This window comes from Homo sapiens, chromosome 1 (genome assembly GCF_000001405.40).
Source record: "Homo sapiens chromosome 1, GRCh38.p14 Primary Assembly".
In the NCBI taxonomy this organism is placed as follows: domain Eukaryota; kingdom Metazoa; phylum Chordata; class Mammalia; order Primates; family Hominidae; genus Homo; species Homo sapiens.
Window position 1 is genome coordinate 183,289,623 of NC_000001.11, and position 15,822 is coordinate 183,305,444.

The 15,822-nt window shown below is 45.3% G+C and overlaps 1 protein-coding gene across 2 annotated transcripts in view, besides 2 other annotated features; it reads right to left on the reverse strand.

Moving 5' to 3' along the window:
• Window positions 1-15,822, reverse strand: part of NMNAT2 (nicotinamide nucleotide adenylyltransferase 2) — a 170,144-nt gene that overhangs the window by 41,386 nt on the left and 112,936 nt on the right. The window contains exons 1-4 of one of the 2 annotated variants that reach the window (NM_170706.4): window positions 15,048-15,252; window positions 4,083-4,171; window positions 3,168-3,235; window positions 506-584 (exon numbers count right to left, since the gene is read on the reverse strand). In NM_170706.4, the coding sequence (NP_733820.1) occupies window positions 506-584; window positions 3,168-3,235; window positions 4,083-4,171; window positions 15,048-15,117 (306 nt within the window). In that variant the 5' untranslated portion in view covers window positions 15,118-15,252. Of the gene's footprint in view, window positions 1-505; window positions 585-3,167; window positions 3,236-4,082; window positions 4,172-15,047; window positions 15,253-15,822 lie in introns of those variants that run through there. The other variant, NM_015039.4, reaches the window with a different exon arrangement.
• Window positions 12,928-13,901: an enhancer, noted in NCBI's record as "H3K4me1 hESC enhancer chr1:183271685-183272658 (GRCh37/hg19 assembly coordinates)". NCBI's record gives its function as "activates a minimal SCP1, AML or CMV promoter by ChIP-STARR-seq in naive H9 embryonic stem cells {active_cell/tissue: H9 hESC(naive)}" and the evidence as "EXISTENCE:reporter gene assay evidence [ECO:0000049][PMID:30033119]".
• Window positions 13,902-14,875: an enhancer, noted in NCBI's record as "H3K4me1 hESC enhancer chr1:183272659-183273632 (GRCh37/hg19 assembly coordinates)". NCBI's record gives its function as "activates a minimal SCP1, AML or CMV promoter by ChIP-STARR-seq in primed H9 embryonic stem cells {active_cell/tissue: H9 hESC(primed)}" and the evidence as "EXISTENCE:reporter gene assay evidence [ECO:0000049][PMID:30033119]".

The window sequence follows — 15,822 nt, forward strand, 5'->3', positions numbered from 1 at the left end:
GGGTGGGAATGGGGTGCAATGACTGGCAGGTGTGAAGTGCCCCAGCCACAGCAGCCTGTCCTGGAGTAAGGGGGCCAGTGGGGCCCCCACAGGCTGCTTGTACCTCCCCTAAGTGCTTCTCTCTTCTCCTGCCTTTCATTGTCCAGTTTCCTCCTCCCTCACTTTCTGAAGTCCTATCACTGTGGTCTCCTTAATCCCACCTTGAACTTGCTCCCAGCTAATAAAAGCTGCCCACCATACCCAGCAGCAACACCCCAAATGGGAGGTCAAGACAGAGGGTGGAAGACAGGGAACAGACCCTGGTGCTACTCGGGGTTCCTCATTCATTGTTCTTCATGCTGTTCACAGGCTGGTCTCTCTCACAACCGGCAGAGAAATAAGAGGCTGAAAGCAGGTCGATAGGCCAGCAGCACCCTCTCCTCTCCCTGCCTGGTTTCTGTGGGTCCAGCCCCTTCCGCCCTTGCACTCTGGTGGTTCACGCATCCCCAGGCTTGGCCCAGCTCACCTTCATGAGGTCCCGGTGGTGTTCCAACACGCTGCAGGTCGTCTGCCAGGTGTCCTGGTAGCACTCCCAAGGGTCCACCCTAACATCATCGGAAAGAAGTTTCCCTTGGTTTCTGTTCTCATATTCTTTCCTTATTGTTACCTTCCAAAAATCATAGCTCAGGAAGCATGGCAGATCTGGCCATACCATGCGCTTAGATCTTGAATCAGATAAAACCTGGGTGTGAAACACTCTTCTGAGCTTCAGTTTCCTCCTCTGTAAAATGAGAGGAGCATGGCATAGGCTTATGAGAAGAGATGCTGGTGCCAGTCTGCCTGGGTTTAATTCCAGCCTCAGCTCTTTGCAACTGTGTGGCTTTGGGAAAGTTATGTGATCTCCCAGTGCCTCACCTTCCCCATCTGTAAAATGGGAATAACAATAGTAACGAGCTTACAGTTTTGTTAGAAAGGCTCGGTAAGTTTTATGTGTACAATGCTCAGTACAGCATCTTGCTCTTATTGTTACCTGCAAAATAAACCCTCCTTTGGACCCTTGAGGATTGTGACAAGGATTAGCTGAGCCAGGCCTTTGTCAAGTGGTGGCCCAGGTTATCCTTGCCAGGCTGCAAACCCTCGAGAATCAGTCTTCCCTGCCTCCCTCTGCAGTGAGGTGCCTTGTGGGCGTGGAGGTGAGACATGACAGTCAGATGAGAGGGCGCAGACACAACAATGGCCAGCCCCTCCGGGATACTGCTTGTGACGTAAGCAGGGATCCAGCCCCAGACTGAGGCAGCACTGGGGCTTAATTGCCAACTTAATGATTTTTTTTTAGACAGAGTCTTGGTCTGTCACCCAGGCTGGAGTGCAGTGGCAAGACCTCGGCTCACTGCAACCTCCATCTCCTGGGTTCAAGTGATTCTCCTGCCTCAGCCTCCTGAGTAGCTGAGACTACAGGCACATGCCACCATGCCCAGTTAATTTTTGTATTTTTAGCAGAGATGGGGTTTCACCACATTGTCCAGGCTGGTCTCAAACTCCTGACCTCAGGTGATCCGCCCACTTCGGCCTCCCAAAGTGCTGGGATTACAAGCATGAGCCCCCGTGCCCTGCCTTGTCTAACATTTTCTTAGCAGTCATGCATCCCCTTAACACCACCACCCTACCCCACCACCCCACCACATACACATGCCTAAAGTGCCCAGAGATGAGATCCCACTAGCTGAAAACCCTTAGAGAGTCAGCTTGCCATTTGCCGGGACCCTGGCTCCCCCTAGATCCCTAGCCAGGCCCTGTGCCCTGGGAGCGCACCTGTGCCGGAAACAAACACTTCACCTGGCTAAATGGGATCCCAGTGTCAGGCGCCCCACCCCAGCCAACCCCATCTCTAGAGGCAGCTCTTAGACTCCCTAGTGATCTCAATTCTCAGGATTCTGATTTTCCAACTTAGAGCAGCCCAGGGAAGGTGGTAGGCACTCAGTAGATAGTTGTGGAATGCATGAGGGAATTATTCCAGAATCTTCTAAGCACATCCAAGCAGTAACAGTCTCCTGCCCAGTGATTTCCTCACTGGACCCTTATTCAAGGTCCCCAGCATCCCCAGAAGATCAGGACTTACAATGTTAAGAGGCCTCATTTCTAATCCTTTCTTGCCTACGGGTGTATCAATGTATCATTGCTCAAGCCCTTTCATTTCTCTGGGCCTGTTTCTCACCTGAGAAAAAGCAGCTGTCTCTCTACCTAAGCTTTATCTTTAGGGGGATAAGAAAGTCTATAAAGGGCATGTGCTTCTCACACAAATCACTGCGCACAAATAGCAAGGATCACTGCTGAATTATTACTGTGGCTTCCCTTCACTGCTCTCATTCCCGCCCACCCCGCTCTTCCTGGGCAAACTCTCTGCATTCCTCATTCTGAGGTCAGCATCCCGTCACTTCGCCCCTTTCATGGAAACCTCTAGGTGCTGCTTATTTTTCCATAGTGGGGGAAATTACAGCACAAATGGCATGCCATTATTTTTTTAAAACATCATCTTATCATGCAAATTATAACGGTAAGAACTTTGGGGAACATCATTAGCATAATTAGTGGAAGCTTGCTTTAATTACACTGCAAGCTCAGCGGAGGTGGGTGGAGGTGCCTTCCTAGCAGCACGTCTGGCCAGAAAGGCAGTGAGCAGGAAAGCCACCCAGTGGGTGTGATTTGGTGTGGCTGCCCTTAGGGGCAGGCCCGCACCTGTCTCCTGGGGCCAGTGTGGGGCCCTTAGGGAGCCTGAGTTCAGGAATGGGAAATTGTCAAGGTGAGGGAACATTCCCTGAAAGGTAGTGAGGGTTCGCGGAAGTTAGTGGGAATGAAAGTGAGAGGCATTTCTGATTTTCTGGTCATGCTTCACCCAAAACCCAGTGATATTTCTGGAAGCTCCAAGAATCATGCCAGGATTCAGAGATGTCAAAGCAGATGAAACATTCAAGCACATTCTTTACATTCATGGGCCTCACAGTTTGGTTCAAAAATAAAGTTATAGGTATCCCTGGAGGTCTACTTATTGCCTCCACAAGGCTAATATCTTGCCCCTGCCTCCCCATCCTTTCAGGATCCAAATTACTGCTGGAACTCTTCTTTTTTCCCCACCCCACTCCCAGTAAGTCTCCGGGCCACTGCCTCTGGCATCTTCAGGCCAGTCCTACCTGATCCAATCAGAATTCTGGACGGCCAGCTGACACATGATGAGACGGTGCCGGCTTGACACGAGGCCCTGGGAAGCAACAGAGCAATCATTGGGAGACTCCCTCCGTTCCCCACAACATCCTTGGGATACCAGCCCAAGCCCACCCATTGTTAAAGTGCAGCCATTTTTCAGTGGTGAGAGGGAATGAAGAATGTGACCCCTTTACTTGTCCGTTTGCCACACAGGCAGGCCTGGAATGGTGGTGGGAAAGGAAACAAATAAAGGGTGTGTGGTATATACCACCCCAACAAGGTCGATAGATGAGCCTCCATTTGCGAAGCAGCCCCTGTGTGCCCTGCAGAGATGAGACTTAACTCAGCAAATGTGGCCTTGTCTTATGGCTCAGTCTGGCTGGTTAGGTGAGTTTCCCCAGAGCCCACCAAGGTGCATCTGTGGGAGAAAGGGGGAATGATGGGTGGAGCTCCTAGATTTGCCGGGACACGTGGCAGGGAGGGATGAGCAGGGATATGAATTTTAAATCAGATTATAAAAGGCATAGGCCGTTTTCTCCTAAAATCCTGAGAAGACTTGCCCAGTGCAGCTCAACCCATAACCAGCTGCCAATCTGGCATCCACCATACCAAGCCACACCCAGTGGGTGTTTCTGCTCCTCTTTCAGTGAGTCCTGACCAGCCCGTAAGTGGCTCTACGGTCATGGACAGCTGGTCTTTCCAGCTACTGCTTCAACGCCCATCCACTCAGGTCCGACTGTGGTCCTGAGATGGGAAGCAGGATAGACGCATGGACCTGGGCATTTTGTGTTTCCAGGAATCTTAGCAGAGACAGAGCGGGGGCAGTTTTTCTGCCAGGAACTATCAGGCCAGGGATGGGGGGACGGGGATTGAAGAGGAGAGGGGCACAGGAAGGAACCCACCTGTTTTCCATAGGAGTCGTGGACAGGGGAGACAATCCCGCCAATCACAATAAACCTTCCAGTTTTGTGCAGATAATCCCTGGCTCTTTCTAATTAAGAGAAGAAACCCACACATTATAAAGAGGAAAGGCATGGATTAAAGGTGATAATTGAAATCAATACGCTCAGCTCTGTAATGCTGGGGTTTATTTCCCATCTCTCTTGCCATTTAAATAGAAAATGTCAACTTTCAAAGCAAATGTTGGTGATTCAAAAGGTTACAGAACCAGATTTCAGCCCCCAAAGCAAAAGGATTTAGAACTCAAGGAGATTCATCCTGTTTTAAAAGTCCTCTGTGGGAGGAGCCAGTGTAGCTCAGAAGGATTTAAAACAAGCGCCTCATTAGCAGCCATTAGAGCTACAGATTGGAATTTACCCCTATTGTCACTTGCAGGAGTTATAATGTGGAGGAGTAGTATTTAAAAAATAAATAAATAAAAGCCTCCTTATAATATGAAAGATGTGCTGATTGCCTCATCTAATTATTCAGAAGAGAAAAACCACCAAAACAAATTTAAAGGGCCTTGTAGATAATTACAAAGAATTAGCAATCAACCCAGAAGACCACCATCTTAGACTTGGTTGAGACGAAAAATTTGGCCAGATAAAAGCCTTTTATCCTTTGGAAGGTATGCAATATTGCTTTTTCAAATCTATCAGACAAACCCAATTTTATTTTCGCAATAAATTTCGGCAAACAAGGAAGGGACTGAAAAGTCTGGTTCTATCTTACTTCCAAAACAATTCCTTTTAAGAATGTCAACAGGGGCCGGGTGTGGTGGCTCACACCTGTAATCCCAGTACTTTGGGAGGCCGAGGCAGGTGGATCACAAGGTCAGGAGTTCAAGACCAGCCTGGCCAACATGGTGAAACCCTTTTCTACTAAAAATACAAAACTTAGCCAGACGCGGTGGCAGGCGCCTGTAATCCTAGTTACTCGGGAGACTGAGGCAGGAGAATCGCTTGAACCCGGGCAGCAGAGATTGCAGTGAGCTGAGATCGTGCCACTGCACTCCAGCCTGGGTGACAGAGGGAGACTCCATCTAAAAACAAAACAAAACAAAACAAAAATTGTCAACAGGGCCTGAGCTTATTCCACTGAGGAAAAATCTAGCATGGAGTTTATAGTGAAGGAATTTTTAAGTAGAAGGCGGCCTGGGCAGCAAAGCTGGCTGTGTAGTTTACAAGCAAGTTTTCAGAATTACTTTGCTGGATTTCTTAACACTTGAAAAAAGATCTCACCATATTTGCTTCTTTTTCTTTCTTTCTTTGTTTTTTGAGACAAAGTCTCACGCTGTCACTTAGGCTGCAGTGCAGTGGTGCGATCTTGGCTCACTGCCACCTCTACCTCCTGGGTTCAAGCAATTCTCATGCCTCAGCCTCCCAAGTAGCTGAGATTACAGGCATGAGCCACCATGGTTGGCTAATTTTTGTATTTTTAGTAGAGACGGGTTCCACGTGTCGGCCAGGCTGGCCTCAAACTCCCGGCCTCAAGTGATCTGCCTGCCTTGGCCTCCCAAAATGCAAGGGTTACAGGCATGAGCCACGGCACTTGGCTGCTTCTTTTTCTTTCAATGTGAAATTTCTTAGATTAAAAAAAAAATGAATAGACTATTTGTAACACCGTTTTAGATTTACAGAATAATTGAGCAGATTGTACATAGACTTCCATATATTCAGACCCCTCCCACCTTTTTACCTCCCTTCATGCAGTTTCCCCCATTATATTAATAATTTTGCACTAGTGTGGCACACTTGTTATACTTGACAAATCATTATTAACACATTATTAACTATAGTCAATAGTTTACATTAAGATTTACTCTGTGTTGTAGAGTTCTGTGGGTTTTGACAATTGTATCCTTCATTATAGTATCATACCCAGTATTTTCATCCCCTAAAAATTCAGTGTTCCACCCATTCATGCCTCCTCTTTTCCCAAACCCCTGGCAACCACGGTTCTGTTTACTTTTTCTATAGATTTGACGTTTCCAAAATGCCATATGGTTGGAATCATACAGTATGTACCCTCTTTGGACTTGCTGTTTTCACTAAGCAGTATGCATTTAAAGTTCCTCCATGTCTTTTCATGGCTCGATAGCTCATTTCTTTCTTTTTCTTTGAGAGGAAGTCTCGCTCTTGTCCCCTAAGCTGGAGTGCAGTGGCGCCATCTCAGCTCACTGCAACCTCCGCCTCCCGGGCTTAAGCGATTCTCCTGCCTCAGCCTCCCAAGTAGTTGGGATTACAGGCGCCTACCACCATGCCCAGCTAATTTTTTGTATTTTTAGTAGAGATGGGGTTTCACTATGTTAGCCAAACTGGTCTCAAACTCCTGACCTCAGGAGATCCGCCTGCCACGGCCTCCCAAAGTGCTGGGATTACAGGCGTGAGCCACCGCGCCCGGCCGGCAGCTCATTTCTTTTAATCACTAAATGATAGTCTATTGTCTGGAAGTACTTCAGTTTATCCATTCATCTACCAAAGAACATCTTTGCTGCTTCCAGTTTTTAGTGATTATAAATAAAGCTGATATGACATTCATGTGCAGGTTTTTGTGAAGACGTAAATTAGGGAATCTACACAAGGAGCCATATGAATCATATGGTAAGATTATGTTTAGCTTTTTAAGAGGCTGTCAAATTGTCTTCCAAAGTGGTTGTGCCATTTTATATTCCTACCAGGAATGAATGAGACTTTCTGTTGCTCCAAATTCTTACCAGCATTTGGCATTATTTGGATTTTAATAAGTGTGTCACTCTGATAAGTGTGTCACATTTGCTTTTTTTTTTGATGGAGTCTAGCTCTGTTGCCCAGGCTGGAGTACAGTGGCATCATCTTGGCTCACTGCAACCTCCGCCTCCTGGGTTCAAGTGATTCTTGTGCCTCAGCCTCATAGGTAGCTGGGATTACAGACGTGCACCACCATACCCAGCTAATTTTTTTATTTTTTAGTAGAGATGGGGTTTCACCATGTTAGCCAGGCTGGTCTTGAACTCCTGACCTCAGGTGATCTGACCACCTCAGCCTCCCAAAGTGCTGGGATTACAGGCATGAGCCACCGCACCCAGCCCCATATTTGCTTTTTAAAAGAGTTGTAGTACTTCACTTGTTTTCAGATCTTATTCTGAGGCCAAATTAAAGGCCTTGCAACAATCTATTCTGATATTTGAAGAAATTGCACAGCCTCTCCCTGTTTCTCTTGGACCTTCACACTCCGCTCCTCTTCGGGGTCATTTCTATCTGGCCCTTGGCAGTCACAGACCCTCTGCTGCAATAAGCCAGAACTTCTTTACTCTCCCTGTCCTCCAAATAGTGCCTTCTAACTCTTCACTTCCCAAGCACTTCATTCAAACCCAGCTCTACCCTACCCCACATCTAGCATGCCTTCCCTGCCCAACAGCCTCCTGCTCTGGACTTATTTCCCGGCCACCTCACTAATCTCACTGTGTATCCAGTGCAGTCCAAGGGACCTGGAAACTGTTTCTGTAAAATGCCTTCTTTGCAAAGTTGTTGTGAGGATCAAATCAAATTACGAAAGTAAAAGTGCATAGCGCTAAGTGGTTTTACTGGAGAATTCCACATAAAGAACTAAAACCAAGTCTACATAAACTCTTCTAGAAAGTAGAAAAGGAAGGAACCCTTTTTTTTTTTTTTTTGAGACGGAGTTTCGCTCTTGTTGCCCAGGCTGGAGTGCAACGGCGTGATCTCGGCTCAGCGCAACCTCTGCCTCCCGGGTTCAAGCGATTCTCCTGCCTCCGCCTCCCGAGTAGCTGGAATTACAGGGATGTGCCACCATCCCCGGCTAATTTTGTATTTTTAGTAGAGACGAGGTTTCTCCATGTGGTCAGGCTGATCTTGAACTCCCGACCTCAGGTGATCTGCCCACCTCGGCCTCCTAAAATGCTGGGATTACAGGCGTGAGCCACCATGCCCGGCCTAGGAAAGAACACTTTTCAATTTATTTTATAAAGCCAGTATTACCCTGATATCAAAACCAGGCAAAGACAGTACAAAGAAGAAACTACAGGCCAATATCCTTTATGATTGAATACTCAAAAATCCTTAACAAATGTTAGCAAATAGAATCCAGCTATATATAGAAAGAATTATACACTGTGACTAAGTGGTGTATATTCCAGGGATACAAGGCTGTTTTTTCAGTATTTGAAAAATCATTCAATGTAATCCACCAGCAAGCTAAAGAAAAATCTCATGATCCTATCAATTGATGCAGAAAAAGCGTTTGACAAAATTCAACATTCATTCATGACAAAAACTCTCAGTATAATAGGAATAGAAAGAAACGTCCTCGACTTGACAAAGAGCATCTGCAAAAACCTGCAACTAACATCATACTTAGTGGTGAAAGATTGAATGCTTTCTCCCTAAAATGAAGAACAAGGAAGGAAGTGTGCTCTCATTGCTGTTATTCAACCAGAAGTTCTAGTGCACACCATAAGGCAAGAAAAGGAAATAAAAGGCATACAGATAAAAAAAGGAAAATAAAAAAACCTGTCTCTATTTGTAGATGACTTGATGATCTACCTAGAAATCCCAATAAATTTACAAGGAAACTCCAGCAACTAATAAGTGAGCTCAACAAGGTCATAAGTTACAAGATCAACATAAGAAAATTAATTGTATTTCCATATGCTAGCAACAAACAAAATCAAAATAAAAATACAAAGCAAATGTTAATCAATTCAATGAAATACTTAGGTATAAATATAATAAAACATATACAGGGCTTGTATGTTAAAAACTACAAGATGCTGATGAAAGAAATCAAAGAAGATCTAAATAAATGTAGAGACCTATGCATTTTAAATCTTAACTGAGAGTCCTTTTCAAGGATGCCTTCAACCCTTTATTCCCATATGCACTGTATCTATGTTGCCTCTGTGAACACAGGAACATATATTTGAATTCAGCGCCACAACAAGTAGCAGAAGATGCTGACAATCCTGAATTTATTTGGGTGATCATGCTTCTATTGAGTTGGATGGCATAGTCTAGTGGTTAGGAACAACAACAACAACAACAAGAGACATACTATGTTATGGATTGGAAGATGCAACACAGTCAAGATGCTAATTCTCCCCAAAATGATATGAAATTTAATGTATTTCTTGTCAAAATCACAACAAGATTTGTTAAAGTGTTAATATCAACAGAATTCTAAAATGTGTATGGAAAGTTATAGGAGCTAGAATAGTTCATAGCAGCTTTATTTGTAATAATCAAATACGGGAAACAACCCAAATGTCCTACGATAGGTAAATGGTTAACTAAACTGTGGTACACCCATACCATGGAGTACTACTCAGCAATAAAAAGGAACAAATTGGCTGGGCACCGTGGCTCATGCCTGTAATCCCAGCACTTTGGGAGGCAGAGGTGGGTGGATCACTTGAGGTCAGGAGTTCGAGACCAGCCTGGCCAACCTGGTGAAACCCCGTCTATACTAAAAATACAAAAATTAGCTGGGCATGGTGGGTGGCACACACTTGTAATCCCAGCTACTTGGGAGGCTGAGGTGGGAGGATTGCTTGAACCTGGGAGGTGGAGGTTGCAGTGAGCCAAGATGGCGCCACTGCACTCCAGCCTGGGTGACACAGCGAGACTCTGTCTCAAAAAAAAATAAAAAAATAAAAAAAGGAACAAATTATTGATATGTGCAAGAATTTGGATGGATCTTTAGTTCATTATTCTGAGTGAAGAAAAGGCAATCTCAAAAGTTTGCTTATTGTATGATTTTATTTATATAACATGGTCAAAAAGTTGTTTAAAAGCCTGGACATTTCGGCTCATGCTTATAATTCCAACATTTTGGGAGGCTGAGGCAGGAGGCTCGCTTGACCTAGGAGTTCATGACCAACATGGGCAACATAGTGAGACCTCTGTCTCTTAAAAAAAAAAAAAAGGTGTTAAAGGTGTTAAGAAGATTAATGCTTTCCAGGGGTTAGGGATGGTGGGTCAGGGAAAGGGGTGGGTATGACTGTAAAGCTGTAGCTTGTGGGAGATCTTTGTGGTAATGGGCTAGTTCTATAGCTTACTTGTGTTGGTTCTGTAAATCTACCCTTTTGATAAGATAACATATAAACTATACATACACCTTTTACCAATGTCAATGTTCTCATTTCGATATTCTACTATAGTTATAGAAAATAGAACTGTTATGGTCTGTATGTCTGTCTCTCCAAAATTCATATGCTGAAATCTAATCTCCAACATGTTGCTATTAAGAGATGGGGCCTTTGGGAGGTGACTAGGTCATGAGGATGGAACCCTCGTGGATGGAATTACAGCCCCTATAAAGAGGCCTGGGGAGCCCATTTGCCCTTCCTCCTTGTGAGGACACATAGAAGGCACCATTTAGGCTGGGCACAGTGGCTCATGACTGTAATCCCAACACTTTGGGAGGCCGAGGTGGGCGTATCATGAGGTCAGGAGTTCGAGACCAGCCCGGCCAATATGGTGAAACCCCGTCTGTACTAAAAATACAAAAATTAGCCAGGCGTGGTGGCACGTGCCTGTAGTCCCAGCTACTTGGGAGGCTGAGGCAAAAGAATCACTTGAACCCAGGAGACAGAGGTTGCAGTGAGCCGAGATTGCACCACTGTACTCCAGCCTGGGTGACAGAGCCAGACTCTGAGACTCCATCTAAAAAAAAGAAAAAAAAAAAAAGGCACCATGGCACCATTTATCAGGAACAGGCCTTCACCAGACACCACATCTGCCTGAGCCTTTATCTTGTACTTCCCAGCCCCCAGAACTGTGAGCAATAAATTTATGTTATTTATAAACTACCCAGTCTAAGGTATTTTGTTACAGCAGCCCAAATGGACTAAGTCAGTAACCACTAGGGGAAACTGGGTGAAGAGTACATGGTATCTCTCTGTATTAATCTTGCAACTTCCTGCAAATCTATAGTTATCTCAGAAAAAAAGTTTTTGAAATGTTCATGATAAATTATAGAACACTGCAATTTTAAGGTGGTGGTGTGCAAACCCAGGCAGTGGCAAGCAAGCTGGAGGAGTTAGATGCTTCTGAAACTTTATTTCTGTTCATACCTTTCCAGCTTTGCTGCTGTCTAGATTAGAAGATTTTGGTTTGTTACATTGTGGGTTGTGTTGTCTAAAGCTGTGCTTCTTAAACTTTGATGTGCATATGAATCCTCTGGGGGTCTTTTTAGAATATAGATTCTGATTCTATGGGTCTGGGATGGAACCTGAGATCAGAGTCAAGATTGGCATGAGATAAGTGGGGCAGGATTGTTTAAGTGCTGAGTCAGATCTCGCCTTTATTTAAAATGTTGATATTTTGTTTATCAAGGATTTTTTGCAGTGATTTTGATATTTTAAAATATTGTTTATTTTGATTACTGAGTTTGGGGGCACCTCCTTACATTTTGCACTAGAGGAGGCCATCTCTCACCCTAGTCCCAGGCTTTGCCTGAGATTCAGCATTTCTGGCAAGCTCCCAAATGAGACCAAGGCTGCAGGTCTGCAGATTATATTTTAAACAGCAAGCGACTAAAGACAGGTGGAGCAGCCCCTGCCATGTTAGAATACCCACAAAAGAGGCTCTCCTCCCTTCCCCACTCCACCACCATCTCCAACTTGCATGACAAGGGCATTTCTGCACATTAGTAGAAAGCCAGCCCATTGGCAAAGCTGTAGCTATGGCCCTGGAATTTAATTTCATGCCAGGCTTCCCAAAATGAGGTCTATTTTTGTCCATCAGTTCTGCCCCAAAGAAGGAGCCAAATTACTCTAACATTAGACATGCAAGTCAGACCCGCTCTGCATTTGGTCACCATCTTTGCTCCTGTGCTCATGGAGGAGGACTCCATGACCGTTGCCACATCCTGTCCTCAGGACCCTGAGGGTCCACTGTGTCTCATGGCTCATTCCAGGCCACTTGGAACCAGGTAAATCTCCCTTCCTTATAGCCTGTGCTGGATGCTTGGATGTCCAGCCAAGGACAGACACAATATGAGTGATTTACCCATTAATAAAAATTCATGAGACACACATATCCTCCTGGCTACTCAGTGAACCTGGCTGACATGTGTAATCTACTCCTTCCTTCTAGGGAGTTAATGGAAGAGTGTTTCTTCCACCGTGGTCACAGCATCAACACTAACTCCATTTTTCCTTTTCAGCTGCAATTAGAAATGACCCCTTCTGAATTGTAGTCACAGCTGGAGCTGCCTGTATTTTCCCTGTTTGTAAATTTCCCAAAGATTGTCTGGATTTGTAAACATTCTAAATTTTAGGAAGACCAAGTGCTGGATGATAAAGGAAGAAATCAAGCTTTGAGTGCCTCTTAGAATTCCTGCTTAGGAGTTAAGAAAAAAACTTTAAGGAATCATCCCTGTGGCCTACTAAACTGAGCCTTGAGTGTTCCCTAACAAACATTTAATAAGTGCTTATTATGTTGAAGGCTCTGTCCCAGTCGCTATAAGGGACATAGAGAAGTAAAAGACACAATTCACATCTCCAAGGAGCCCAGGTTTTTGATGCGGGCCACAGCATATACTTTGCTGAAATAATAAGATACCAAAATGAACAGCAGAGACATTAAGTGCTATAGGACTTCAGGGAGGGAGTCATCCCACTGGGACGGGGTGGCCTAGGAAGTCTTCCTAGAACAGATTAGACCTAAGCTAGAATCCAACAGCAGAGAAGAGGAAGGTGTTATTAACTTTGTCTTTTTATTTTCTGTATTTTGATGTTTGACATCTGGGGACTTGCTGACCCTTGAAGGGAGGAATTATCCCTCTAGCCAATTCCTAGAGATAGCGAATAACTGGCCCTTGAGCACACTTTTCAAATGCAAACCAACCAATCCAGACCAACCATGCCCCTAACTACCTTCACTATTGCGCTCTCACACTCAGGGCCACTGTTCCCCTGCCCTAATCTCCCCAGGGCTAGGTACCGAACAACTAGGGATATCCCCTATGCCCCAGAGGCTGCTGAATTTATTTAAACTAGGCAAAGGAGAGCCTGCCTCACCTGTCATTCCCAGAACCACAATCACATCTTTTGCCCCTGTTTCTCCACTCCCTCTGCCTTCTGGCTGACCCTGGAGCCTCTGCCCTTGTTTTCCCCACTCCCTCTGCCTTCTGACTGACCCTGGAGCCTCCTTGCTGGCCCCCTATGACTCAGTGTGCCCCGTCCTCTTGGGACCTGTGAGTATAACAACTTTCTTTTCAACAGCAGCCATCTCCTGATCTGTTGGCCTTGTCATACCTAAAAAATAGTAAAACCTCAATTTTAAAACAGAAGGAAGATACTCATTCCAGGGGGACAAAGCGAGGTGAGCAGATGAACTGAGTCAGGAACAAAGTCTCTAAGCCCTACTGAAGCCTCCTTTTCTTGGCTTTATTTGTTTGAAAAGCAATGATATCATTTTCATCCACTGTCACCAAGGGAGTCTCACCCTCCCCCACACAGCCTGGAGCAACTTTGCAAAACTGAGGGGAAGAGGCTAGCTGAGAAGAAGGCAGGGAAGAATTAGGCCAAATTAGGAGGGTTTTGAGTGCCAAACCAAGTAATTAACTTACTGACCATTTGCTGGTGATCTGCTCTGTGTTAGGCGCAGTGTTAGGCACTTGGGTCTGTATTTTCTCATGTTAAATTTCACAGCAACTGTGTAAGTTGTTAGGTGATATAATCACTATTTTCCAAATAAGGAAGCCAAGGTTCAGAGTCATTAAGCAGTTTTGCCCGAGATCACAGAGACAGGAAGTGGCTTTTGGAATTTGAAGTGGGATTTGAACACAGAATTTTTGACTCTAAGGTGAGTGCTTATTCGATTTGGTCCTTTAGTCCCAGATCCTTTCGTTCCAGTCTGGATAGTTTTGGGAAGCAGGGAGCTGGGTGATCACATTCTTCAGGGAGCGTGAAACAGACAATCCTACCAGGCCCTCCCTCTTCAAGTTGTCCAGCCTAAGCCTTAAGACAGTTTTCCAGTGAGATAGTTCTACTTGAGTCTGAAGTAAGTCTGAAAGCACAGTACGGTCCATGAAGTTTGATCCATATGTGGGACCACAGGAGCCTACCATGCCATCCCTTGGAACTGTTAGCTGAGTGGGCTGAGGCTCCCAATAAATACAGGCTAGTTATGGATTTCCTCTCCACAGGGAGCAATTTTCCTTGCTCTTCCTCCAGCCAGTCAGCCATGCCTAGGCCAGCCATCTACTAACACTTGTCCTCAGACCCCTGGGCGGAGAATGTGGGTACACCAGCACAATGCCCTCTCTCTGCCCTCATACCCTTTATTCCAATGCACTATGGAGTCAGCATCTTCCCAGGCCTGTGTCTGTGACTCATGATGGCAGCTGGATTTCCCAATTTACCAATACTTATGTGACTTGTGTCTTGTGTATTTAAGGTTTGAGGCTGGGTGGAAGTTTTCTAGGAAGACAAAGGAACAGGAAGTAGTGGAAGACATTTTTGGAAAAGCGTGCAGCACGTACAAAGGCATGAAGATATGATATTTTGCAGGTAATGAAGAAAAGAGCAATATGCCAGAAAGAAAGATGTAAGTAGAAGAAGGTAAGGCTGGAAAGAAAGTGGGGTAGATAGCATGATAGGAACAGGGTTTTCTTAGAAGAAACAATCGATTGCAGAAGGCACATGATGGCAGCTGGATTTCCCAAGGGGATGATAGGTTACCCACATTTGGTATATTCTTCTACCCAGACTCAGTGGCCAGTGACTGGCCAGCAGAAGGTGCGGGCTGGGCTTACATGCATATAGGGATCAGGCTGATGTCCCTAAACAGGCATGCACAGAGCAGCCCTGCAAACCTTGAGAAGCTCCGCTGGAGACAGAATCCTGTTTTCTTGACCATCTGCACCTCCCTCCAGCTGCCCCGCCCTCATGCCATGTGCCTCAGGCTGTCTGAACTCACCTGAGAGAGTAACAAACACTTCCCAGAGCCCCTGGCAGGCCTGAATTTCCTCTAGTTCCTGGATTTCCATCTATTTGTCTGGTTTTTGCAGCCACTACTTGCAGCCCTGTGCTGGCCATCAGAGAGTAACACAAAGTGGTGCAGCTGCTCCCTCATTGTTGCTGATCTTGTTTGCTCCACTACCTCCAGCTTGGGAGAATTTGAATCCCTTTGTCCTTACAGCCAGGAAATGATTTATGACCCTCCCTTCCATAACTGTCACTTCTGCCAGACCATGCTGAGAGAACCTCTCATATGCTCCCGCTTGTAGGAGCCACTCCGGAAGTGTGGCCTCTGTTCAAATCCTTTCCACTGGAAAAACTACCCCATTCCCATCCCGCATCCTTTCCAAATCAGGCTCCAGGCTTCTTGGAATTCGCCCATTGTTGAAAAAGCCTTTTTTTTTTTTTTGGTATTTATTTCTTCAGAAATGGAAAGCTAAATATATATGTAAAAATATGACACAAACTAAATATATATGTAAAAATATGACACGAAACCAAGGTTTCCCCTTCAGCGAAACTCAAAAACACATGAGAGAATTCTTTCAGAAACCCACAGACTGTGGTACTAAATATAGCTGGGCAGGGGGTGGAGTGGGGCAGGGGATAGAGTGGAAGGTGGGGAGGAAGCAATGAAGACAGGAGGAGGACATGTGATGGAGGAGCCCACCTTGGCTCCTCATTAGGGTATCAAGTCTGTGTCATTTGCATGGAATCAGGCTCTATTTTTAACT